Here is a 27,027-nt window from a genome sequence, read left to right as displayed (position 1 = left end):
ACATAGGACAGATGAGTCCCAGCATCTATGAATTCAATGATGAGTCAACATATGTGATATCTGTTTTAAAATGCACCCACTGAGAAGACAGAGTGCTCTTCTTTTCCGTTGATTTCTGGCTCGAAGCTCACTCATTCGAGAATTTGTGTTTTCAAGTAGGATTATAATATGCTTTTTTTCTTTTCTGTCAGATTCGTTAAGAACATTTTTTTTTGAGTCATTCAGAGTTGGGTTCAAATTTCCTTTGTTTGTGTCACCTTGGGCAATCAATGTAACTTCTTTCAGCCTCAGTTTACCATCTGTAAAATGGGTTTATGAACATTAAATGTGATAATTTGGCCAGGCATGGTAGCTCACACTTGTAATCTCAGCACTTTGGGAGAACGACTTGGGAGGATCACTTGAGCCCAGGAGTTTGAGACCAGCCTGGTCAACATAGCAAAACTCCATCTCTACCAAAACAAAACAAAACAAAACAAACAAACAAACAAAAAAAACCACACACACTAGCTAGGTGTGGTGGCACACACTTGTAGTCCCAGCTATTTGGGAAGCAGAGGTGAGGTGGGAGGATACCGTGAGCCAGAGCCTGGGAGGTTGAGGCTGCAGTGAGCCCTGATTGCACACTGCACTTAAGCCTAGGCGACAGAACAAGACCCTGTCTCTAGGTTTTTAAAAAATTATAATTTATACAAAGTGCTTATAACTGTGCCTGGCACATAGTAAGAGCTCAATAAATGTATTCAAAGAGGAAGTCTCTGCTAATTTTAAAGCAAGTTTCTATGAATAGGATGGGAACGGGGATGATATTAAAAGTGGATTCTTAAAAGATCTTCTTGTCTAAAATTGTAATGCCATTTCAGAACTGCACATAGCACAGTTCTAATTAAGTGACAAAGCAGGTTCTGGTGTACCACGGTAAGCATAGCCATGTTGAAAAGGAAGTCTATTATTACCCTAACTTCTGAAGGCTCTTACAATTAAATTAATTCCTTGATACCATGGGGGTTGTTTTTGCACCAGTAGACCAATAGGGATCTGCAAACTTTTTCCGTAAAGGGCCAGAAAGGGCCGGGCACGGTGGCTCACACCTATAATCCCACCACTTTAGGAGGCCAAGGTGGGTGGATCACAGCTCCTCAAGGTCAGGAGTTTGAGACCAGCCTGGCCAACATGATGAAACCATATTTCTACCAAAAATACAAAAATTAGCTGGGCCTGTAATCCCAGCCACTCAGGAGACTGAGGCAGGAGAATCGCTTGAACCTGGGAGGTGGAGGTTGCAGTGAGCCAAGATCGCACCACTGCACTCCAGTCTGGGAGACAGAGTGAGACTCTGTCTCAAACAAAACAAAACAAAACAAAACAAAACAAAACAAAACAACACTCTCACCCATGAACAGATAAAGAGATTATCACTGTTACAGTTTGGACTATATCCTTTCACTTTTCAGCTTTTTTTGGGGGGGGGTTGGGGGGCGAGATCTCACTCTGTTGCCCAAGCTGTAGTGCAGTGAACCAGTCATAGCTCACTGCAGCCTAGAATGCCTGGCTAATTTGTTACAAAAATTTTTTGTAGAGAGAGCATCTTGATATGTTTCCCAGGCTGGTCTCAAAGTTGTGGCCCCAAACGACCCTTCCACCTTGGCCTCCCAAAGTGCTAGAATTACAGGCATGAGTCACCACCCTTGCCCAGTCTTTTTAATTTTCCTCATAACAATAGATTATTGTTTTTCACAAAAACTTTCAATTTTTTCTTTTCAAAATCATTCTATATTCTTTTAAACTCACTTTAAATTTCATTAGTTTCATTCAAGAAATCTTTACCACAAAGCTGCTATATACCATTCATATATTCGATAGAACAATGTGAAATGGCTGATATTTAAACCATTTTCTTTTCTTTTCTTTTCTTTTCTTTTTTTGAGACAGAGTCTTACTCGGTTGCCCAGGCTGGAGTGCAGTGGCACGATCTCAGCTCACTGCAACCTTCACCTCCCAGGCTCAAGCCATTCTCTTGCCTCAACCTCCGGAGTAGCTGGGATTACAGGCACCCACCACCACGCCTGGCTAATTTTTGCATTTTTAGTAGAGACAGGGTTTAACCATGTTGGCCAGGCTGGTCTTGAACTGACCTCAGGTGATCCATCCGCCTCGGCCTCCCAAAGTGCTGGGATTACAGGCGTGAGTCACTGCATTCAGCCCTTAAACCGTTTTCTTTAATGCTTGTTTTCAAATAATTTTCGTCTCACGAGAACTTGCAAAAATAGTGCAGTGAGGTTCTCCTATATATTCCTCCAGTGTCCCCCAATGATCACATCTTACCTAACTATAGAACATTGTCCAATCCAGGAAACTGACACTGGCACAATGTAATTAACTAGTATATTAACCCTCGCAGGCCTTTGTTGGGTTTTATATGTACTTACTGTTAAAAATTCTTTGGACTTAAAAAACAAGCAGTATATATCTATTGTGCAGCTTTCCATGTCAGTACTTTTAGATCTGGAGGGTGTCCTTTTTTGGCTGTGGGTTACTGGGTTTCTAACACCTGTCTTCAAAGTTTCACATAGAAGGTCGCTTTGACGCTGCTTCAGGGAAATGATAAACACCCCAAGAGTTTGCTCTTGCCTCAAGCATCGTGGAGTTTCCAGTGATGAACACATGATACAAATAATATTTTACCATTGAAAAGTCACATTTGAGAAAATTTAGAAATTAGACAAAATTAAAATGGTACTAGGAAGAATAATTTTAATTGTCTTGATATTTCTACTTGAAAGCAGGTGTATTTAGTCTTTATGTTTCTTTTTAGTTTTCTTTGGGGAATAAGTATGCAAATATTTAAGAATACATAATTGTATTTCTGTATGTATTTTTAAGTATTTGCATACTCATTCCCTATACTAAGCGTAGTTTTATATCCTTTTAAAAGAATACTGTGTAATGATAATTTTTCTCAGTAAAATTCTTTGAAAAAAGATATCCAGAATTAGAAAGGTTAAAAAGGATATAGGAGATCAGTTGGTGAAATATTAATATTTTCAGATGAAGAAACTATGGCTCAGAGAAGGAAAGTATCTTAGCCAAGGTCGCATAGCCAGGAAAGTTGACATAAATACTTAGTGATGGCAGAGAGTCCCAGGATGCCACAGTGAGGAAGGCTGAGGGGCAAGCCCTTGGCAATACTCCAAGATCTAAGGTTAAGTGTTACAGGAATTTCATTTTACCAGAGTGCCCATGCCTACCAAGAACTCAAGAGACCAAAATACAAGCTAGAAAGCCAATTTACTAACTTACAGTAAGAATTCTAGCTGCCAAGAGATCTAACCTGTAATCCTCCTGTAAATGTATTCTCATCCTATAGAAACATCTAATATTAACCAGAAGGTTTGGTGAATCCATGGACCCAGGAAAAGTGGAGTTAATGTTAAGATTGTTTTGTTAATGTTTAAATTTTAATTAATTTAAGATACATCATACACACTCATGGAAAAAGTACAAAGCATGCAAAAAATGTTAACATGAAAAGTCAATCTTCCTTTCATATCTTGTGCCTGTCCCAGAACAACTGTTCTTTTGGAAGGTCTTAGGAACCACTGTCTCTGTATTAGTTTCTTGTTGCTGCTGTAACAAATGACCTCAAACTTACTGGCTTAACACACAAATTTATTATCTCAGAGTTGTGAAGGGTAGAAGCTCTAAAATCAAGGTGTTGGCAGGGCTATATTCATACTGGATTTGTTAGGGGATAATTTGTTTCTTTGCTTTTTCTAGCTCCTAGAGGCATTCCTTGGCTTGTGACTCCTTCCTTCATCCTCAAAGTCAGCAGCATAGCATCTTCAAATATCTCTCTCTCTCTGTGATCTCTTCTTCCTTTATCACACATCCTCTGACTTCTTCTCTAACTTTCTTGCCACCTCCTCATAAGGACCCTTGTAATTACATGAGACCCACCAGATAACCCAGGATAATCTTCTCATCACAAGATCCTTAGCTTAATGACATTGCAAAATATCTTTTGCCATGGAAGAGAACATATTCACAGTTTCTGAAGATTAGGACATGGACATATTTGGGTGTCATTATTTTGCTGACCACAGTCTCCAAACTACATTTGAGAGATGAATGACTCCTTCTTCTCTAGACCAGACTAATAATGTGTTCTGATGAAAAATAATGTATTCTTGTTATTAAGATGCTTATTTATATTTGTTTACCAATTTGTTCAGTACATTATGAAATATATCCTTCTGGAAAATGTTTAAAAGATAAGGTATAAATAAATGTAAATAGAAGTTGTCATTTTCCCCACAGCCAGTGGATTGCCTGCTACACTCATGGTGAGTACCGAGCCCTCTTTAGAGACCACTGTCCTAAACTATCCTTTTTCTACATTCAGTGCAAATCACTGTCCTGAACATTCCTTTCTTCTGTCAGTAGGACATGCTATTTATATGGTACAAGGCACTTGAACTCCAGCATAATGAGGTTGTTAACAGTATAGGTATTTATGTCAGTCAAACAGTTCAAATCCCAGCTCCACAACTACCACCTGTCCAACCTCCATCACATTGCTCAACCCCATGGGCCTCATTTTTTTCACTGGCAATATGGCATAATGTCTGTCTCATAGGGTTGCTTGTGAGGATTAAATATTCAGTGTGAGGCTGGGTGCAGTGGTTCATGCCTGTTATCCCAGCACTTTGGAGGCTGAGGCGTGCGTATCACTTGAGGCCAGGAGTTTGAGACTGGTCTGGGCAACATAGCAAGACCCTGTCTCTACTAAAAATACAAAAAATTGGTGGTGCATACCTGTAATCCCAGCTACTTGGGAGGCTGAGGCATGAGAATCGCTTCAACCTGGTAGGCGGAGGTTGCAGCGAGCCAAGATCGTGCCACTGCACTGCAGCCTGGGTGACCGAGCGAGACTCTGTCTCCAAAATAAATAAATAAATAATGTTCAATGGAATTTTAATAACAATATGACATTAGATTTATACTCTTTGGAGTTTAATACTAGGATCTTTCGTTGGATTTAGTCTTCTTACCTGTGCTCAGCACCCACTTCCTGACTTTTTTTTAGGTTGGTTACCCCTGTTTAAGGTTGCTTTCATTCTTTGTGTGTTGATTCCTTTGAATTTATTTCCTGGGGCTGCTGTAACACAAAGTACCACAAACTTAAAACCACGGAAATTTTCATTCTCTCTCAGTTCTGGAGGGCAGAAGTCTGACAAATCAAGGGGTTGGCACAGCCATGCTCTCCTTGGAGGCTCTAAAGGAGAACCCTTCCTTGCCTCTTCCTAGCTTCTGGTACTCCAGGGATTCCCTGGCTTATGACAGCATCACTCCCATCTCTCTCGTCTTCACATGACCTTCTCTGTGTGTGTCTCTCTGTGACCCCTTCTCTTAAGGACACCAATCATTGGATTTAGGGCCTACCCTAAATGTAGAATGATTTTGTCTCAAGAGCTTAACTAATTACATCTGCAAGGACACAATTTCTAAACAATGTCACAGTCTGAGGTTCTGGGTGGATGTGATTTGGTGGGGAGAGGGGGTAGTGATACTATGCTACTCATTATACTTCCCTCTTGCAGAATTGCTTTACTCCCAAGTTCTGGGAGGCTCCTGCCTTTGTCTCAATGTACATGTGTCAGAGCTCAGGGCCTTGAGAATCTAAGGGCTGGGGGAACACAGACAACCTGGAAATCAGTAGTTTTGCCTTGTCTAACCCCATCCCCTTGCCACTGGCATGGCTACTTTTCACAAGGAAGAAAAATCACAGTCAACTTGTTCTCAGTGTTGCCATTCTGTGTATGACACTGTAGCCCTTGGAGTGCTTCCCATTTGGGCTTTTAGCATCTTCAGAAGAAGAAGAAGAAGAAAGAAAAAAGTGCTGTTTGGTATCACGCAGCAGCATTTGTGTTTGCAAAATGTCTCTCCCATTGGACGATTCCAATTTAAAATACAGATTAGCTCTGACAAAACTGACCCAGGCTGGCTTTTCTGTTTGATAGTTTCAATTTCAGGCTTATTCATCACAAATGATTGTAATACAACAGGATTTTGACAGAACAAGGGTAGGAGTTTTGAATTCTTACCTGCAATTTTCAGCTCTAGGGGATAATTGCAGAGAGAAAAACAACAATAACTTAGTTCTAGGATATGAAAACATGCTGAATTTCCCCTTTGTTCCTAGTGACATTTAACAAGTCACTTTCCTGATGAACAAATCAGCTCTCTGATACCAAATTATGAGCCTTACAAAATCTACCACATTTATCCTTTTGCCTTAAGTACAAAGGAAGCTCTGGGGAAACAATGATCAATTTCATTAATTATTAGCTTAGGTATTTATTATATCCAGGACCTCTCCCTGTGTGTTTTATTTAAGTTCTGTTTCTATTTTAAGACTTTATTGTACATATGACTTTACATCCCTCCTGGATGTTTTCTTCCTTGCCCCGGCTTCTGATACTGCTCTTACTTTCTGATCTCTCTGACCATTTCTTCTCTTTTTTTTTCTCTCCTCCACCTCCTCTGCCTACTGTTTAATGCTGATGTTTTCCAGGATCCCTGCTCTTCTCTCTGAACATGCAGCCCATGGATTTCTTTCTGTCTTTTTTTTTTAGATGGAGTCTCTCTCTGTTGCCAGGCTGAAGTGCAGTGGGGCAATCTCGGCTCACTGCAATCTCCCCATCCTGGGTTCAAGCGATTCTCCTGCTTCAGCCTCCCCAATAGCTGGGACTACAGGCGCACACCACCATGCCAGCTAATTTTTGTATGTTGTATTTTAGTTTCAGCATATTGGCCAGGATGGTCTTGATCTCTTGACCTCTTGATCTGCCCACCTCGGCCTCCCAAAGTGCTGGGATTACAGGCATGAGCCACTGTGCCCGGGCCAGATTTCTTATATACTCTGAGGGGGTCAACTGCTCCCTGGATACTGATGACTCCCAAATCAGTATTTCCAACTGCACCCTTTTTTTCCTGAGTTTGATTTAGATTCAAATGCATCAACTGCTTGTTAGGGGAATTGTGCTTGCATGTGCCCCACGGTCACTCAGTGACTGTAAATGTGAACTCATCACTTTTCTCCCCTAGACTTACCCTTCTCCACTCCTTCCCCTGTTCTCAGTCTTAGTGGACAGCTCAGGCCATGGCCAGGTGTCTCAAGTAGGAACTGGTGAGGTATCAAAGACTTTTCTCTCTTTCTTACCCCCACATTCAATGTCCATATCCTGTTGTTCTGCCTTCTAAGCATTTCTGAAATCTCTCTCTCTCTTTGGTTTTACTAGCTCTGAATTTCAGACCTGGAATTAGATGACAACTCTCTTCTTGGCTCTTCCCTTATCCTCCTAACTGGACCATATCATGCTTAAACATTTCTGTGGTTTTCCATTGCCTACAGAATCCAATGGAGACTTACCATCAGGAAACAAAGGCCTTCCCTGATTGGCTCTTGCTCACCTGTCTCATCTCTTGCAGCTACCACCCCTCATTTCACCTCTTCATGGCCACTTGCCATCTGACATGGGCACCATGCTCTTTCTTGTTTCCACAGCTTTGCTGATGCTGTTCTGTCCACCTGAAACACCGTTGCCACCATTCCTTGCCTGGCTAATTCTTACACGACCTTAACTCAGAAGTGTTATTCAACAAACATTTATTGAGCACCAAGTATATGTGAGGTGGTATCACAGTCTCAGTAGTGAACAAGCAGACAGGGACTCTGTCCTCATGACACTTTATTCTAATAAAACTTTCAATGAACTACAAAGTTGAGCTGAATGCTTCTCCCTCTACCTGCCCTTCCAGCAGCCTGTGTGCTCCATCACTACCTTTGGCCTGTTAGGCTGAAATCATCTTTCGGTCTCTCTTCTCTAATGGACTGTAAATTTCTTGAGGGTAGGGGCCATGCCGCAGTCTCACAGTATTCTTAGTGCCTGGAACAGTGCTTAGCATTTGGTAGATTCTCAGTATGGTTCCCTTGTAACTCAACTATAGATTATGAATACATGACTCCACCTCTCAGCATAAACTCCCATTCTCAAGGAAGTTTTCTTTGACCCTCCAGAACAAGCCTGGCATCCTCATGATATGTCCCTTATACTGTATTTTTCCCAGAATTGTGTACTTGTAACTAATTATGTTTTCAACTATTTACATTACATTTTTACATTTCATTTTCTGCACTAAGTTGTAAATTCTATGAGGTCCAAGGTATAGCTATCACACTGCATGGCCTATAATAGGTGCTCAGTAAATATTTATTAACTAGAAAACTGACAAATTTTCTTGCCGGATAAAAATCCTGAATGAATTGCTGAAGCCTACAGAAAAATTAGAGCCAATTGCCTACTGGCCCAATGCCTGACTCTACTCATCTGTAAAATGGTGATGTTCCCAGGGATAACGTTGTATAGCAGATAAAATTTACATTAAAACCATATCAAAACAAATATGCATAAATAGATTATACAAAAAACACGGGATTAAATAATTAAACACATCAGCTGCAGTTCCAGATGGACTCTTAATTACCTATTTCAGGATGTGATATTTTATTCCCCAACCAGACATATAACCATTTTCTTCTCTTTTCCTTCCCAGCATCTGATACAGCAGTTCCTGAGCAGAACAAAACAACAAAAACAGGACAGGTAAAAAATCTGTGAAGTATTTGCAGTATATCACTTAAATAGTAAAAATCCACAGTAGTGGCCAGGCACGGTGGCTCATGCCTATAATCCCAGCACTTTGGGAGGCCAAGGTGGGCAGATCACTTGATGCCAGAAATTTGAGATCACCCTGGCCAACACGGCAAAACCCCATCTCTATCAAAAATGCAAAAATTAGCCAGGTGTGGTGGCACATGCCTGTAGTCCCAGCTACCCAGAAGGCTGAGGCATGAGAATTGCTTGAACCCAGGAGGCAGAGGTTGCAGTGAGCCAAGATGGCGCTATTGCACTCCAGCCTGGTGGCAGAGTGAGACTGTGTCTCTTAAAACAAAACAAAACAAAAAACAAACAAACAAAAAATCCGCAGAGGTTTGCAGAGATGGACTAGGAAAAGCAGGATATTGCTGTCGCAAAATTCATTGCAACAATTATGAAACAGCCCAATAATTTATAGACTTGTACTCTTGGCAGAAATAACCTTGATTGTTACATCTGTATGTGCCAATACTTTGAAAAGCAAAAAGAAAAAAATATAAAAAACATGCAAGATCATTGTGTGTTCCGTCTGCGTGACCCAGAGTTCATGACATACTGCAGAATCAACACCTGCCATCAATATTTCTCTTGTTTTCTGAGGGTGCTATTTTTATTATTACAAAAGTGATTCAAGCCATTTTAAGTGAAAGCTTCAGGCAGTACAGAAGTCTGTAAAGGATAAGTAAAGTTTCCCCATCCCCTCTTTCTTCTTCCCCATCTCTCTCTCAGACACTGTCTGTTGTCCTGTCCTGGTTGCTGTGCCCACTGTCTCTGGGATTCTGTGTGTTACAGAATGGAACAGGAAGAGAGGGAGAGAGCATATCTTGGTCAATGGAGATGGCATAGCCCCAGCAAGATGCCCCAATGCCTGCCTGCAGAGCAGCAGTTCTCAATTTTTTTTGAGACAAAGTCTCACTCTTGCCCAGGCTGGAGTGCAGTGGTGCAATCTTGACTCACCGCAACCTCTGCCTCCTGGGTTCAAGCGATTCTCCTGCCTCAGCCTCCTGAGTAGCTGGGATTACAGGCACATGCCACCATGCCTGGCTGATTTTTTATATTTTTAACAGAGATGTGGTTTCATTATGTTGGCCAGGCTGGTCTTCAGTTCCTAGCCTCAAGTGGTCCACCCATCTTGGCCTCCCAAAGTGCCAGGATTACAGGCGTGAGCCAACATGCCTGGCCTATATTCTCTCTCTCTCTCTCTTTTTCTTTTTTTAACTTGGATTTTAATCATGTATGTAAATAGCAACATGAGTACAGGGAGTTCTAAGCCTTGTGCCTTATCTCTAAGTGAAAGGATTTCAGATTTGTTTGCTTGTAGGATGGCATCACCCAAGATAACAGAGACCTAGTATAGTTTTTCCTGAAGAAGAAAGCCAGTTTAATATATTCAATACTGACTTCTCTGCTATTTTTCTGTAAAAATAATGATTGACCATTTGAAGTTTCTGTTGCTTACCTGTAACTGATTAAAATGTGTAGAGCATGAAATTTTCTATTTATTTTCAGATGAATTCCTCACATTTCCTGGCTTTAGAAAGTTCTCCTTCCAAAAATCTTCCACGACTATGTATCCTCATAAACCCTGGTCATATAATATCTCCTTTCTGACCTGCACAAACTCGATGGCTTGCTGTGGATAATGGATAGAGGCTGCTAATCCTATGAAACTGGGTAGAAATGCCTGCTTCTTTATTTTTGAACCTCTAGCCAAAACAAGTCCAACAAGGCCAGCAAAACCAATAACACCCAGTCCTGGAAAAAATCCAGCAGGTGCATTTTGGAGATATTCATAGCTGTCTCACCCCCATTGAACCAAACTTTACATCTTTGGCTTCATTTAGGAGTACCTTTCCTGACACCAACTTTTATATAGCTCTTGATAATGTCAAAGCTGAGAGATGCTTTCCTAAGCTGGGTCCTTGACTCATCTGCATGTTTAGATTAGCCCTCGAGAACTTAGTAGAGTAAAACTCATAAACCTTCATGGGATTTTGGGGAGGGAAGTCCTTTTTTGGTGCTGCATAGACTTTGAAGGTGAGTAGGCTCAGGCTGGTCAGCCCCATGGACCTCTAAACCACCTTGAACATGTTACTGGCAGTGGGGACTTTCACAAGGTCTTTTTAAACGTTTGAAACTCAGTTTCTAGCCTGGGCAACAGGGCGAGACCCCTGTCTCTACAAAAATAAAAATTAAAAAAAAAATAGCCGAGTGTGGTATCATGTACCTATAATCCTGGCTACTTTGGGAGGCTGGGGTGGGAGGATCACTTGAGTCCAGGAGGTTGAGGCTGCAGTGAGCCTTGTTTGTGCCACTGCACTACAACGTAGGCAACAGAGAGAGACCCTGTCTCAAACAAAATAACAGCCTGGGTCTTGTGGCACACTCCTGTAATCCCACTTTGGGAAGCCGAGGCAGGAGGATTGCTTGAGCCCAGGAGTTCAAGACCAGCCTGGGCAAAATAGTGAGACTCTGTCTCTACACAAAATTAAAAAAAAAAAAAATAGCCAGGCATCGTGATGCATGCCTGTAGTCCCAGCTACTCAGGAGGCTGAGGTGGGAGGATTGCTTGAACCCGGGAATTCAAGGTTGCAGTGAGCTGTAATCATTGCCACTGCACTCCAGCCTGGGCAAGAGCAAGACCTTGTCTCTACAAAAGAAAAAAAAAATCAGTTTCTTAAAACTGAGACTTGGTTTTTGATTCTCTAGACTGCTCAGCAGAAAAAACTGAGACATTTTTACAATTAAAAAATTTTTTTAGGCCGGGTGCAGTGGCTCATGCCTATAATCCCAGCACTTTGGGAGGCTGAGGTGGGCAGATCACTTGAGGTCAGGAGTTCGAGACCAGCCTAGCCAACATGGTGGAAACCCATCTGTACTAAAAACAAAAAAATTAGCCGGGCTTGGATATGCATGCCTGTAACCCCAGCTACGTGGGAGGTTGAGGCAGGAGAATTGCTTGAACTCGGGAGGCAGAGGTTGCAGTTAGCTGAGATTGCACCACTGCACTCCAGCCTGGCTGACAGAGTGAGACTCTGTGTCAAAAAAAAAAAAAAAAAAAAAAATTTAATCCCAGCAATGGCAGGAGCTTGAGCCCAGCCTGGGCAACATAGCGAGACACCATCTCATTTTTTAAAATTAAAAAAAAAAAGTTTAAACTTTTCTTTTAGGTTCAGGGGTACATGTGCAAGTTTGTTATACAGGTATCTGTATTTAAAACATTTAAAAAAATCAATTTATTTAAAAATAACAACAAACTCACTTTGTGCTAACATAACATGTTTTATGGCAACTAACTAACTCTATTTTGAAAAAATATTAGTGAGAAAAATGAATGAAAAAATTACTGAGAAATATGGCATTGTTTTACATTTTTTGCAAATCTCATTAATATCTGGCTTAATAGGAGACAGAGGGATTCTCATCTCTGTTTCCACATTCTGTGTAAGTGACAGCAATGACATCACACATCACATAGCCTCTGGGAAAGTATACTGTATATCTCATGAGAGAATGATAGTGAAAATGGCAAAAAATGTCTCATGAAAATCATTTTGATCTCATGGGCCCCCCATCTAGACTTTGAGAACCACTGCTGTAGAAAATGTGAAATTAAGTTTCATTTTCTCTTTCATCCTGTTTTCTCTAGAAGCCTAAGTCAGCCATGAAAAGAGTAGCACAGGGCTAGGGAGAGCTCAAAGGATTTGAGCAGCGGCTAGGAAAGAGATTTGACCATGGAGAACACAGCTCACAACAGTTATTTTTTATCCTCAGACCCCTGAGCCCCACAGCTCCTTATGCCTGATGTCTAACACTTCGGAAAATTTTGGGATATGGGTCACGTGTTTTGGGTTTTCAGAGATTTTTGACAAAAGGTGGTGAAATGTAGTGAAACTGCTGGTGGTTGTAAGGTGCTATTGGGCTGGGATGTCATCTTGTGAGGGTGGCATCTAGCAGTGACTGGGTCCATCTCCTTGCCTGTGTCCCATCAGATGGATGGAATACCCATGTCAATGAAGAATGAAATGCCCATCTCCCAACTACTGATGATCATCGCCCCCTCCTTGGGATTTGTGCTCTTCGCATTGTTTGTGGCGTTTCTCCTGAGAGGTAAGGAGGGAGGGCCAGGTGATGGAGCACTTCAGAACCCTGGCGACTGCAGGAGGATCTGGAGTTGTCTCCACTTCCTTCCCCTTTATCCCTCCCCAAAGAGGCTCAGTTCTGCCATTGTTCCCATCCCAGCCAGGGAAGTAACAGGTAAGTTCATTCTCCCCAAGCTGCTAATGACTCTGTGTATTAACCTCCTGGTAGAGTTTACGTTTTGGAAAAGGAAAAAAAGCAGAAGAGCACCTTCATTTATTGGACATTTCTGTGCCAGTCCTGATGGTATACTCTTGATGTGCCTAATTCATTTTATCCCTATTACTGCCTTAAGAGGAAAGTACTATTTCCTACTTTGTTCACTTTCTCTGTTCTTTGGTTGGGAAAACCCTAGCTTGTCTCTTCTTTTGGCTAGGATTGTTGCAGGACGAAGACCATGAACAATCCTGGTTTTCTTCTTCTTTTTTTTTTTTTTTTTTTTTTTTTTTTTTGAGAGAGTCTCATTCTGTTGTCCAGGCTGGAGTGCAGTGGCGTGATCTCAGCTTACTGCACCTCCGCCTCCTGGGTTCAAGTGATTCTCCTGCCTCAGCCTCCTGAGTAGCTGAGACTACAGGTTCACGCCATCACACGGGACTAATTTTTGTATGTTTAGTAGGAGGGGGTTTCACCATGTGGGCTAGGTTGGACTCAAACTCCTGACCTCAGGTGATCCACCCACTTTAGCCTCCCAAAGCTCTGGGATTACAGGCATGAGCCACCATGCCTGGCGTGATCCTGGTTTTCTTATATGTTCCCTAAAAGCAAGCTTTCTTAACCTGGAGGCCACAGATGGACTTCAAGGGTAATGTGAATCCTTTGAAATCACATGCAAAAGTGTTTATGTGTTCATGCCTGCATTTTTCAGGGGACAAGGTCTGTAGTTTTCATTAAGTTAGCAAGCTGCTCCATGACCTTGCACCTCCATCCCACCCCTGCCCCCCGCCCCCAAAAGTTTTAAAATGCTACAAAAACAGCCATGAAACAGCTTATGGTTTTCAGGCAAATTATAGGCACGTGGCACCTGGTACTGTTGTAAAATGGGGATAAATTGTTCTGTACTCATTAACAAAAGCTGTTTCAGGGCAGTATGTCAGGAGATGAGACTAGTAACCATCTCAGCTGATTTGAATAATAATGAAACTTGTATATTTCAACACCTGCCCCAGGTGCAAAAGCAAATTTAAAATTTACTGGAATCCTGCTGTTAGCCTTCATACAAAGGCATGATTACAGTTTTGGAAAATTCTGAGTATGTCTCGTAAAGAAGTGTTTTGAAACCCAAGTGAGTGCTTGAATTCTGGATAGGCAGATGACTCAGAATGAAATAGCTTAACACCATTGCCCAGAATGTTGGAACAACTTGGTAATTGATGAGCACTAACTGTGGTTAAAATAGCAAGTGTTTGACCTGGGAAAGGGAATGGCTTTTTCTGCCAAAGCCAGCCACTGGTTCTCACCTTTGGCCCATATCTGCTCTTTGCGGGGCAGCACTGGAATTCCCCCAGCATTTTGCATGTTCTATGCACCGCAGCCACTCTGCTCACACTGTGGCCTTGTCTTTTCAGGGAAACTCATGGAAACCTATTGTTCGCAGAAACACACAAGGTAATCTATCTTGCATGAATGGGTGTTGTAATGATTGTACAAGCTGTTACAAATGATTAGCTACTACTCAGTGGTTTAATGACTTGAGCTTGTGTTACGATTACACATAGAGTTGGAAAGATGTGACATTAGAAGTGAAAAAGTTGTGCAGATTTAGCTCACATTAACCTGTGTCTTGGTTAACACTCTGAGCAAAATGCCAGTACCAAGGCAGGTGGGATTAATAGAAGTATAGCACGCAAAAGAAAGAAGGTGATATGGCACTTTACTCTGAAATTTTTTGTTCACCTATGGGTAAGTTAGTTTAAGAGGCCATTGTTAAACTGGAGTTTATTGAGGAGCGTTGGCAATATGGAAAATGAAAAAAGCATGTAGAATATTATTCCTGGGAGTTGGTTCCTCTGCCCAGTTAGACCATGGAAGCAGCTTGTTTTGGGGCCTTTTTAAAAATAGTATTTGAAGATTCTCTAGTAAGGGATTTTAGCTATTTGCCCTATTCTATAGCTTTTGGAAAAGAAATTTTTAAAAAAGGCATAAATTATTAATGAAGTCCTTGCCTAATTAATTGCATTCACTAATTAGTTGCATTAATACCACAATATGTATTAGCAAGAAGGAAAATTGACACCCAGCGAGGTGACCTTTCAAGGTCACACTTAGAGACCTTTTGGTAAATAAACGTATTGAAATCATGATTTTATATTTTGCTAAGAATCTTTTTTATCTCATTATAATGGATTGGCAGAAACTCTTTTTCCCCTGCAGCCTCAGTTTTCCCATCTGTAAAATGTGGAGCTTAGACTAAATGAACTGTGAGCCCTTTGAACTTTAAGGGTAATTGCACTGTAACTTAGCAGCATCTGTTTTGTTTTGTTTTCTAGTCTTGTGTTTCCCATTATGAGCCCCTCTTTTCTGTTTACAGGCTAGACTACATTGGAGATAGTAAAAATGTCCTCAATGACGTGCAGCATGGAAGGGAAGACGAAGACGGCCTTTTTACCCTCTAACAACGCAGTAGCATGTTAGATTGAGGATGGGGGCATGACACTCCAGTGTCAAAATAAGTCTTAGTAGATTTCCTTGTTTCATAAAAAAGACTCACTTATTCCATGGATGTCATTGATCCAGGCTTGCTTTAGTTTCATGAATGAAGGGTACTTTAGAGACCACAACTTCTCTGTCCATGCTCTAATCATCTCTGTAGAATCACCGCTAAGTGATCTTTCACAGTACACTTGAACACTTTCAGTGACAGTGAACTCCTTACCACACGCAAGGGAGTCCATTCAATCTCAGAGCAGTTCTGAGATTAAGAAATATTTATAGCAAAATCTGTCTCCGGATGACATCTGCCCATAGGTCATAGTTGAGCTCCTTATGCCTATCAGAACATCTCCTTTATTAACTGCCGGATCAGTGTTGTGTGAACTAACAGGACAAAAAATCTATAGGCTCCATCAGTCAATAAGACTGATTTTTTTTTTTCTCTCTTAAAGGTAATGTCAAGAGAGTAGAAATCCAAAAGATGGTTACCTTTGGAGAAACATGTGCTTATTCCATTAATGTTGCTATTGCTCTAAGCATGCTGGGAAGTACTGGAGAGCTGTTAACTCTTCAGGTATTAGAAGGAGAATCTCATGTTTCTCCAAATTTCCTTGCTTCTGGGATACAATTTCTGGTTCTTTTGTTACCCTAATTGCCTTCATCTCGTATGGATTCGTATCTCTCCTTTTATGCCCAGCTTTCAGAGTTCATTGTCTCACTGCAGGTATGATATGAGCAGCACAGAGCCTATGGTTCATTAACAATGCAGGAAATGACATGGAATCACACCGTAACTGTGACTCACTTCTTTATTTTCTTTCTTGAGACGGAGTCTTGCTCTGTTGCCCAGGCTGGAGTGCAATGGACAATCTCTGCTCACTGCAACCTCCGCCTCCCGGGTTCAAGCGATTCTCCTGCCTAAGCCTCCTGATTGAGCAGCTGGGCTTACAGGTGCATGCCACCATGACCACCAATTTTTGTATTTTTAGTAGAGATGGGGTTTCACTGTATTGGCCAGGTGGGTCTCTAGCTCCTGACCTCAGGTAATCTGCCTGCCTCAGCCTCCCCGAGTGCTGGGATTACAGGCTTGGGCCACTGCACTTGGCCAACATTGACTCACTTCTAAAACTCCTAAATTTTCTATTATTTTCTTTTCACATTTGAGTGTCTTTAGAGGTGACCATAGTGTCACATCCTAGTTCTTGCTTGGGGAATTTAATTTTGGAAACAGGGAAGAGTCCGTGGGAGTAAAATGTGGTGAATGACAGGAATATTCAACCAGGGGCAGTGCGTGGATGTGAAAGCAAGGCAATCCAAATAAGTTTCTCTAAATATAATCTTGGAAATGTGCTCCTCAGCAACAACAGGTTTATTTTAAAACTTTAATAACTGCTAACACGAGGAGCCATGGGAGAGAGATTAAAGCAAACAGTTGTTGAATGAATGTATAAAAAACATGTGTGCCTGAGTGAGAGGGGCTTCTGGCTGGGTAGAAATGTGGAAAGTAAACCAGATCTGAAAGACATTTCTGTGAAGGACTTCCCAGCATGTTTACAGCAATAGCAACATTAATGGAATAAGTACGTGGTTCTCTAAATGTAGCCATCTTTGGATTTCAACTCTCTTGACATTACATTTAAGAGAGAAAAAAGTCAGTCTAATTACTTGACTGGTGAAGCCTATAGATTTTTTTGTCCTATTAGTTCACACAACACTGATCCAACAGTTAGTAAAAATCCCCCTCACCTGGGTACTTGGAAAAACTGGCCCAAGGCAGCCTGACTTCTGACTTGTTCAGTTGCAGTTGGGCAGAATGATTGGCACCAATGATGAAAACAATTAGCAGCAGATTGGCAGCTGTTTCTTTTCTTTTTCTCTTCTCTTTTCTTTTCTCGTCTTTTCGAGACGGAGTTTTGCTGTTGTTGCCCAGGCTGGAGTGCAATTGCATGATCTTGGCTAACTGCAACCTCTGCCTGGTGGGTTCAAACGATTCTCCTGCCTCAGCCTCCCAAGCAGCTGGGATTACAGGCGCCCGCCACCACACCTGGCTAATTTTTTATATTTTTAGTAGAGATGGGTTTTGCCATGTTGGCCAGACTGGTCTCGAGCTCCTGACCTTAGGTGATCTGCCTGCCTTGGCCTCCCAAAGTTCTGGGATTACAGGCGTGAGCCACTGTGCCTGGCCCTTTTTTTAAAAAAAAAATTTTTTTTTTTTTTTGGTCAACTTGGCTTTGATGTCAGCTTAAGATACTTAAAGTGACTTTGTCTAGTGTGCTAAACTCAAACATTTATTTAGAAACGTTGGGGAAGTGGGTCTAGAGCCAGGTTCAGGGCCTGAATTTCCCCATCTAGAAAATGGAGTGGGGCCAGATGGCTTTGTGTATGTAGTCAGGTTATAGTATCTTGTGAGGTAATGATACACCCAACCCTAACTTAGCTCATGCTCCCTATCCACCTTCCAAAACCACCGCCATTATCAATGTCACTACCAGCTTGGGTCTGACTAGAAAAAGAAGACGACAGACACTTCCTAAACAGAACATTTAAACTCAATGAATATTACTTTTCTGTTTTGCAAAGGGGTATTTTCAATCGATTCCCAAATGTATTTCTGAAACTCCTTGTACCGACTAAGAAACACTAACATGAGCAATCATAGTATTTTAGAGCTCGTAATGGCCTCCAGGAGCCTCTGTCCTAGTAGTTCTCAATGTTAGCTGAATAATCAACTGGGGAGCTTTTTAAATGCCAATTCCTGAGTCCTACCCTTTAAGAGATTCTTTCTGTAATTGGTCCAGGGTATGACTTGGGCATCTGAATTTTTGAAAAATGTCCCAAAGTGGTTCTAATATGGAACCAAGTTCTGAAAAATGCTGGTCTAGCCCGGTGGCTCTCAAACTATGCACTTCAGACCAGCAGCCTCCGTGTCACTGGTACTTGATAGAAATGCAGATTCATGTCCTTCACCCCATACCTCCAGAATCAGAAACTCTGGGGGTAGAGTCTAGCAAACTGTGTTTTAACAGACCCTCCAGATGATTCTGATGTGCGTTAGAGTTTGAGAAATGTTGCACTGTAGTAATTCCTAACAGATAAAGTGTTCAAGAAAACAATCTCCCTTTACCAGGGCTGTGTGGTGGTGGGCTTGGCCAGACAGAGGGTCAGGAGCTTCCAGTACCAGGGGCAAAGGTCCTGCTGCTTCATCTCCTTTAAGCTGATAGCACTTTCTGGCTGGATTCCTGCAGTATCTTCCTAATTATAATCTCTGACTTTACTCCTTTTCCTGTCTGTTCTCCATGCTGTGGCAGAGATACCCTCTTTCAATACAGGTATGGGTCTCCTGTCTCCTGTCTTCCAGCCCTTTTCATCCTTGGCCCCTAGACCTACCTAGAAGCAGCACACTTAGCTCTGCCTGGGGCAGAGGTGGCAAACTCTGATGAATTTAGAGGCCAGGCAGCTGATACAGTTGAGGGAGTCAAAGGGAGATGACATGGCCCATGATAAATCGGAGTGTATGTCCACTTAAGGGCATTAAAATTTAAAATTAGTTAAAATGATTTCCTGGGCAAGCAAAACATGGCTGTGGGCTAAAACAAGGTAGCCAGTTTGAGACTGGGGATAAAGGGTGGATTTTAGTAAAAGATGAATTAAAATAAATATATAATTCTTATACTGAGACTCCTTGATCAGAGGAGGCTGTGGATGTAGTTGCTCCTCTCATTCCCTCTTTGTGTAATCAGGATGAATTGTTAGCATCTATAAATAACTTTTTGGTATCTATTGTATGTGGGGCCCAGGAGAGAGAATTGCTTCTTTTAAGGAGCTTCACTTCTGAATGAGACAAAACACACATGGGAAATGCAATAGAATAGGCCGGGTGCAGTGGCTCACACCTGTAATCCCAGCACTTTGGGAGGCCGAGGTGGCACATCACTTGAGGCCAGGAGTTTGAGACCAGCCTGGCCAACATGGCGAAACCCTGTCTCTACCCAAAATACAAAAATTAGCTAAGCTTGGTGGCAGGTGCCTGTAATTCCAGCTACTCGGGAGGCTGAGGCAGGAAAATCGGTTGAACCTGGGAGGAGGAGGTTGCAGTGAGCCGAGATCGCACCATTGCACTCCAGCCTGGGAAACGGATTAAGACTGTGTCTGTCTCAAAAAACAAACAAACAAACAAAAAGGTAATGCAATCGAATGGAATCAATGTTGTTTTTCCATTTCCATAAGGAAGGAATGTGATGCAGTATGTGCTTCTTACAGCTAATGATTATATGGTGGATCCACAATCAAACCTCACAATTTAAAGCAGGAGTTTCCAATCTTTTGGCTTCCCTGGGCCACACTGGAAGTAAAGGAATTATCTTGGGCCACACATAAAATACGCGAACACTAATTATAACTAATAAGCTAAAAAAATCGCAAAAAAAATCTCATAATGTTTAAGAAAGTTTACCAATTTGTATTGGGCCACATTCAAAGCCATCCTGGGCCGCATGCAAGCTCAATTTAAAGCAACCTAATTCCTCACCATGGCCTTTCTAGGCTAAACACAGGAGATACTATCAATTTGTAATGAGCACCTATTATATTCTGGGTACTCTATTAACTGTTTCAAGGCAATTATCTCATTGACTCCTGACAGCAGCTCAATAAAGCGGGTATATTATTTTGGCTTTGGAGCTAAGAAAACAGAAGCACAGGCAGGTGAAGGAACTTGCTCAAGGTCACGTCGTCCAATCTCCTGTAGCAGAGCCAGGTTTTGAACCAGGCTTGAAGGACTCCACACTCTAACCACTACCCTGTACTTCACAGTGAGGGCTCCAATTCCAGACTTCATGCATATGGCTCTGTAACACTGACCTGCATTGGACTCAAATGGATTTCAGTGTCCTCTGATCCACAGCAACCTGAGTATATCAATGGCTTTCCAGTTACAACCCCATTATAGCTCAATCTTCCCTTGTCCCCATATTATTTACTCAGAATCTGATTTGCATTTGCAGAGGAAGCTGTAAAGGGAGAACCTGGCAGGAAACTTAATGAAGCCAGGTGGGACACATTTAAATGGGAATGTGTTGAACTAACTCATGAAGAGCTAAAGCCAGCTGTCAGCAGGCTTAATGAAAGGTTAACAGGAATCCAGCAATGGGTGGCTGGGGAGACTCTTTGTCTCTCTAAAGAAAACAGGAAGTTGAGAAGTGGGCTCCCTGGGTGGAGGTGAGAGCAGAAGGAGGAAGCCACTCAAAACCGAAAGACTGGGTCTGGAAATAGAGCTTCATTTAGATTTGTAAATATGTTACAGCCTTAAAAAAAAAAAGCACTGTGAGTTCTCAGCTCTCTGAGCATCAAAGGACAGTGAAGGGAAGTGTTCCCGAATAAGATGAATGCTAATGCTATCCAGAGGGAGTTTGGGGAGCACTGGAAATGGCTGCTCGCAAAACAGAAGGTGGATTTGCTGCTTGTGCTGAAAAGGTGCTATTGTGCGGTTATATGCATTATCCATACTGTATGTGAAATAATGGGGTGGGAGCACAGCAAAGACTCGCACACATCTGTCAGTTTCACTCCCATTTTCAGCCAAGGAAACTGAGGCTCAGAAAGGGGGCATGAGTTGCCCAGGTCCCACAGTTAACCAGTGCTAGAGCAAAGCACTAAACTGTGTTTTCTAGACTTGTCTCTGTGGCTAAGATTCTGGAGTTTTCACAGAATCTGCCCTGTTATTGCCCTTCTGGAGTCATGTAATTAAGTTCTTGTTGGTGTGGCCATGCAATTCAGCGTTCCTTTTCCGTAAGCCATCTATCTTAGCACACCCCTGGCTTTATAGTGGGCTGCTGCCCCCAGGAAGAGGAATCAGAATGCAAAAAGCGCACAGCTTGGCTGCTCTGCTGCTCTCCTAGCAGCACCATAACTATGGTGACCAACTTGTCTCAATTTGCTCTGGGCTTTCTTGGTTTTAAAACTCAAAGTCCCACATGCCAGGAACCCCTCAGTCCTGGGCAAACTGGTGTAATCACCCAATAGGTTCTTCCTGTGCCATCTGCACAGACAAAACCAGTTCATTGAGAACACGGCATTGCAGTAGAGAAAAAGTTTAATGGACATGACGCCAGCCACATGGGAAATAGAGTTATTATACAAATCAATCTCCCCAAAGGCTTGAAGGTTAGGGTTTTTATGGACAGTTTGGAGAGCAGGGGTCTAGGGAAAGGGTGCTGCTGATAAATTGGGGATGAAATCATAGGGGTGTGGAACACTTCTTTGTGTGCTGAGTCCAACTCTGGGTGGGGCCACAGGACCGGGTGAATCATGAGTCACAAGGCCGGGTGGGATCTGTTGAAAAAATATTTCAAAAAACCAATCTTAGTTTCTACAGTAGTGATGTTACCTAGATGAGCAACTGGGGAAGTCGCAAACCTTGTGATCTCTGGCCATATGACTCCTGAGCAATAAGGGATTGTGGAAACTATGGGGTCAAAATATGTCAGTTATGCAAAATGGGGTCGACTGTGTCAGATTTCTCTCATCGTTATAATTTTGCAAAGATGGCTTCTCTTGGATGGTTGGTCAACCTAAGTCTATAAACTAGAGATCAAAAACAACCATCCTCTCAGTTCTCTCACTCACAGCCCCTGCTCTTGACTTTATTGCAGTGATCACTTTTCCTGTGACTTTGCAGTTGAACCCAAATGGAATTTAGTTTGTTCAGATCCGCTGTTAGAATAGACTACTACTAGATCTACATTTTATATCTAGACCCTTGCTATTCGAAGTGTGAGATTCAGACCAGCAGTTTTGTCATCACCTGGGAGCATATTAGAAATGCAGAATCCCAGGCCCTACCATAGATCCTATGAATCAGAATTCACCTTGTAACATCTAGGATCTCTAGGTCACTCATGTGCACATTAAAGTTTGAGAAGTCCTGGTCTAAAGCATTGATTTTCAAACTCAGCTGCACACTGGAATCACATGGAGAAACTTAAAAAATACTGATGCCTGATCCATAGATCAAAACATCACCTTGTACCCCATAAATATACACAATTATTGTCAATTAAAAATAAATTTAGGCAAGATGCTGTGGCCCACGCCTGTAATCCCAGCACTTTGGGAGGCCGAGGAGGGTGGATCACCTGAGGTCAGGAATTCGAGACCAGCCTGGCCAACATGGTGAAACCCCACCTCTACTAAAAATACAAAAATTAGCTATGCATGGTGGTAGGCGCCTGCAATCCCAGGTACTCGGGAGGCTGAGGCAGGAAAATCACTTGAAGCTGGGATGTGGAGGTTGCAGTGAGCCAGGATCACGCCATTGCACTCCAGCCTGGGTGACAAGAGCGAAACTCCATCTCAAAAAGTAAAATAATAAAATAAATAAATAATTAAAACATTTTTAAAAATACTGATGCCTGGCTCCCATCTGAGGTCCTGATTTGATTCACAACGAGGAGACATGGGCATCAGTTTTTAAAGCACTTCAGGTGATTTGAATATACAGCAATGTTTGCAAACTTCAGCCCTAGAGAGGGGGTAGCTTTGCACCAGAAAATAATGTTTCTAATTAATCAGAACAAAGCTTGGCCTAAGTTTGTGTGGCTCTACTAACCCCATGTGATTTTGCATATGGAAATCATCAATATCGCTCAAGAAGATCTGAGGCATAAAGATAATGACCAATTACTCTGGAAGAGGCCCCCTAAAGTAGTTACAAACCAAGATATAATATTTAGTCTATGGAAAGTGATAATAAGACAAAAGATAATCAGAGAAGGAATGTCCTTAGGGTCGGGGTGGCACTATGAATCTCTTCAGAAGACACTAGAAAGATGTCTTGACACCAAGATTGTAAGAGAAAAGTGGGAGATTGGTTAAGTGGTAATCTTTGTTGCACAATAAGGAACTTGGTAAAAAGGCAACTATATTTTCTTTTGTACTTAGATATAATGGGAGATCTTCTGTAGGGAACAAGCAGTCATTCATTGTCTCAGTAAGACTGTATTCTTTTGCAAGTAAGAGAATACGAAAAAATAATGATTTAATTAGCAAAGACTTTGAATCATTTCACATAACTAGAGTTGGGACTTAGGAGTGTTGTAGGATTGGGTTCAGCAGCTTCACAAGAATGAGGTGTTAGTCAGGTCTCTGTGTCTTCATTGGCACTTCTCTCCTGGTCACAGGATGGCTGCCACAGCTCTGATATGTCCTCCCACAAAAGCATCCCAAGTAGAAAGAAAGCCCTGGCAACACAGCAAGACCCCATCTCTACAAAAATTTTTTTAAAAAATTAGCTGTGGATGGTGGCATGTACCTGCTCACTTAGCTACTCAGGAGGCTAAGGCAGAAGGATTCCTTGAGCCCAGGATTTTGAGGCTGTATTGAGCTGATTGCACCACTGCACTCCAGCCTGGGCAACAGAGCAAGATCCTTTCTCAAAAAAAAAAAAAAAAAAAGAAAAGAAAAGCCAAGTAGGAAGAAAGGAAGCAGGTGGCAAATGGGGCTTTTCTTCTAATATGATGCTTTATCAAAAAGGGACATTACTAAAAGACTTTCCTGTGTTTGATTGTCCAAACTGGGTCACATACCCAGACCTTGGCAAAGGGAAATGCAACTGCTTAGATGACTTATATTAATCAATCATTATTCATTCTCTAGGCTATGCATATTGACTAGGATCTGTTAGCATGGGTGAAACTGGGAATGGCTGTGGGGTGGACAGTCTTGATTTCTGCCATAGTCACTCATCCACCACAAGGTTACTGGTTGTCTCCTATGTGCCAAAGGGCCCTGTGGGGAGCTGGGGCATTGTGAGGAACAAGAGAGTCCCAGTCCCTGATCCTAAGCAGCTTACAGTCTGCAAAGCCATTTCTATCTTTATCACCCATTTCATGATTCCAATTATTTGGATAATTTCTGATGTGCCTGAGAAACAAAAAGAGTGAAGGGATAATATGCTTAGAAATTCTGCATATATATAGATACGTTCTTGAACTTGTGGACCTGTACCTTTGCTGTAAGGGTCACCAGTCAATGGAGGAAGGGGCTGAAACATTCAGACCTAGGTGGTGAAGGCAAATTAGAGCAAGAATTCTTAGCTATGGCAGAACTTTCTTAGCTTGGCGGAAGACAGTTGGCTTTATCACAGATGTGAGAGTAATAGAAAGAAATCTCACCTTATATTTCTATGCTGCTTCATACTTTTCTAGGCATTTTCAAACATTGGTGCTCTGTGTCAGAGGGACAGTGTATCCCCATTTCATAGAGGAGCAAAATGGAAGCACAGAGAAGCAAAGTGACTGTGTTCCCACCATGGTTAGTGAGACAGGACTAGAATCAAGTGTCCTGATTCCTTCTCAAATCAACGGATCCATGCCATCTTTATGGGATGCTCACCATGTGCCCCTGGCTTTGTGCTTGGAATTCATAACAGGGCCAATCATCATCATTAATATTATTTGAGCATGTACAGTAAGTCAGACACTGCCCTAAGCACTTTAAATACGCTTTTAAATTTAATCATGACAATCACCCTTTGAGGTAGTTGTCACTTTTATCTCTGTTTGACAGATGAGGAAATGGAAGCTCAGTCAGATAAAGAGGCTAGTCAGCTGGGATTCTAACTAAGAAGCACCTCCATGGCCCAGGGCCTTAACCCATGTGCCCTGTCCCTTCAGGTATATAAAAGCACTTTTTTGATCTCTTAATGATTACATACATGTGGAAGGTAGAAAGGAACTATTCAGCTGTGACTTTTAGGTTGTTCCCATTTTCCCTCTAATCACCTTAGTAAGATGATGCTGGAGCGACTGCGTTGCCTGGGGTATATAACCTGGGGTTCCTTGTAGCGAACCAGGAAAATTTACAACACAGACACACATGAGGAGTTTAGGAGCAGAGGTTTAATAGGTAGAGGAGAAGAGAAAGAGAAACAGCTGCCTCTGTAGAGGAAGGAGTCTCCCAGCGCAAAAGACCTGCTGGTGGTGAATATGCGGAATTTTATAGTCTGGTTTGAGGAGGCAGTGTCTTATTTATATAGGGCTCTTAGATTGGTTTGATCAGGTATGACATTTACATAGCGCATGAGGAAGGCTTGTCGCCCCACCCTAATCTTCTTATGCAAATGGACTTTCCAGTTGATCATGGCCATCTTGTCTGCTTCTTACTGTACATGTGGCTGGCAGAGAAGGGATGATGGAACCACCATCTTGAACATGTCTAGTCCCTAGTTCTGCCGGCATTCACCCATGCAAGCTCCTAGCTTGCAGGCTGCTCTTTGTTAGAAAATTATTTGGGGCTGCTCTTCATTAAAAAGATAAGCCTTACTGAGGACTCTCATACCCTTGCTATCTGCCTAAGTGATTTCTTCTTAACGCCTGTATCAACGTGTTCTCCATCCTTAGACTTTCTGAATGCCACCAATATGGAGATGGGTGAGGAGTGAAAAGCATGGAGCTAGAAAGTTCTTTGGGTCTAGGTCTCGCATCGTTTGTTTGTTTGTTTTGAGACAGGGTCTCACTCTGTCACCCAGACTGGAGTGCAGTGGCGTGATCCTCCCAGGCTCAAGTGATCCTCCCACCTCAGCCTCCTGAGTAGCTGGGACTACAGGCACAAGCCACCAGGCCTGGCTAAGTTTTGTGTGTGTATGTGTGTGTGTGTGTGTTTGGTAGAGATAGGGTTTTGCCATGTTGCTCAGGCTGGTCTCGAACTTCTGGGCTCAAGTGATTCTCTAGCCTCAGCCTTCCAAATTGCTGGGATTACAGGCATGAGCCACCCACACCTGGCTGGGTCTCACCTTCTTGAAGAGACCCGAGTTTAGACCCAGATCTCCAAATGAAGTCACATATTAAAGCACAGAGATTAAATGATCAGGTTCAAACATTAAAAACTATACTAGAAATGTTGTCACCTCTCGTTTTTTAAAGAATACGCAAAAAGACTTAAAAAAGAGAGAGAAAGAAAGAAAGAAAAAAGGAGGTGGCCTGGGTTCCACTCTCCTTTAGAGAAGCCTGGTCTCACAATCCTCCTCCCTGGCCTTGCCCTTGTTCCACCTCTTATATTCATTCTCCACCCTGTTTATTCTGTTCCCTCTGTTCTATTTCTTTCTTTCCCCTTCTCTCCTCCTTCTGAGATGAGGTTAGTGTCTTATCTCCCTTCAGCAGCTCCACCAACACAGTCGTATTATTTTTTTCCCTCCAGATTCAGGATGACTCTACATCATTTTAATCTGTTCCTATGAGCTTTGATTTTCAATCTCCCAAACTTAATCTTAGACCCTTCTCCACTGAGATGAAAGAAAGGTCTGAACAACATTACAAATGCTGACAATACCTTTTGCTCAGGGATCAAGATGATTAGAAAAGACAGCAGAGGCTTGCTTCACCATAATGTCCTGGGTATCCCGGGATAAATAAAGTTTCTTAATTAGCCAAGGACTTATCATCAACTGATGATGCTGCGACCTCCACCGCCGTTTATTAACTATTGTTGAAAAACTTTGCCACCTGTCGGCAAATGGAAAGGG

General features: G+C 42.1%; 1 protein-coding gene and 1 pseudogene across 3 annotated transcripts in view, besides 4 other annotated features; one reads left to right on the top strand and one right to left on the bottom strand.

The window, feature by feature from the left end:
- Positions 1-15,637, top strand: part of TIMD4 (T cell immunoglobulin and mucin domain containing 4) — a 43,935-nt gene extending 28,298 nt beyond the window's left edge. For all 3 annotated transcript variants that reach the window (XM_017010021.2, NM_001146726.2, NM_138379.3), the window contains 4 exons: positions 8,617-8,666; positions 12,713-12,830; positions 14,426-14,465; positions 15,388-15,637. In XM_017010021.2, coding sequence (XP_016865510.1) covers positions 8,617-8,666; positions 12,713-12,830; positions 14,426-14,465; positions 15,388-15,472 — 293 coding nt within the window. In that variant the 3' untranslated portion in view covers positions 15,473-15,637. The remainder of the gene's footprint in view (positions 1-8,616; positions 8,667-12,712; positions 12,831-14,425; positions 14,466-15,387) is intronic.
- On the bottom strand, positions 9,930-10,840 carry APOOP1 (apolipoprotein O pseudogene 1; annotated as a pseudogene).
- Positions 12,177-12,456: an enhancer, noted in NCBI's record as "active region_23496". NCBI's record gives its function as "activates an Ori minimal core promoter by ATAC-STARR-seq in GM12878 lymphoblastoid cells {active_cell/tissue: GM12878}" and the evidence as "EXISTENCE:reporter gene assay evidence [ECO:0000049][PMID:35858748]".
- Positions 14,026-14,135: an enhancer, noted in NCBI's record as "active region_23495". NCBI's record gives its function as "activates an Ori minimal core promoter by ATAC-STARR-seq in GM12878 lymphoblastoid cells {active_cell/tissue: GM12878}" and the evidence as "EXISTENCE:reporter gene assay evidence [ECO:0000049][PMID:35858748]".
- Positions 20,176-21,121: an enhancer, noted in NCBI's record as "OCT4-NANOG-H3K27ac-H3K4me1 hESC enhancer chr5:156340819-156341764 (GRCh37/hg19 assembly coordinates)". NCBI's record gives its function as "activates a minimal SCP1, AML or CMV promoter by ChIP-STARR-seq in naive and primed H9 embryonic stem cells {active_cell/tissue: H9 hESC(naive and primed)}" and the evidence as "EXISTENCE:reporter gene assay evidence [ECO:0000049][PMID:30033119]".
- Positions 21,122-22,321: an enhancer, noted in NCBI's record as "CDK7 strongly-dependent group 2 enhancer chr5:156339619-156340818 (GRCh37/hg19 assembly coordinates)". NCBI's record gives its function as "activates an origin of replication core promoter dependent on BRD2, BRD4, P300/CBP, MED14 and CDK7 cofactors, with strong dependence on CDK7, by STARR-seq in HCT116 cells {active_cell/tissue: HCT116}" and the evidence as "EXISTENCE:reporter gene assay evidence [ECO:0000049][PMID:35650434]".

This window comes from Homo sapiens, chromosome 5, assembly GCF_000001405.40.
Source record: "Homo sapiens chromosome 5, GRCh38.p14 Primary Assembly".
Lineage (NCBI taxonomy): Eukaryota > Metazoa > Chordata > Mammalia > Primates > Hominidae > Homo > Homo sapiens.
This window is presented reverse-complemented; position numbering and strand designations above follow the sequence as displayed.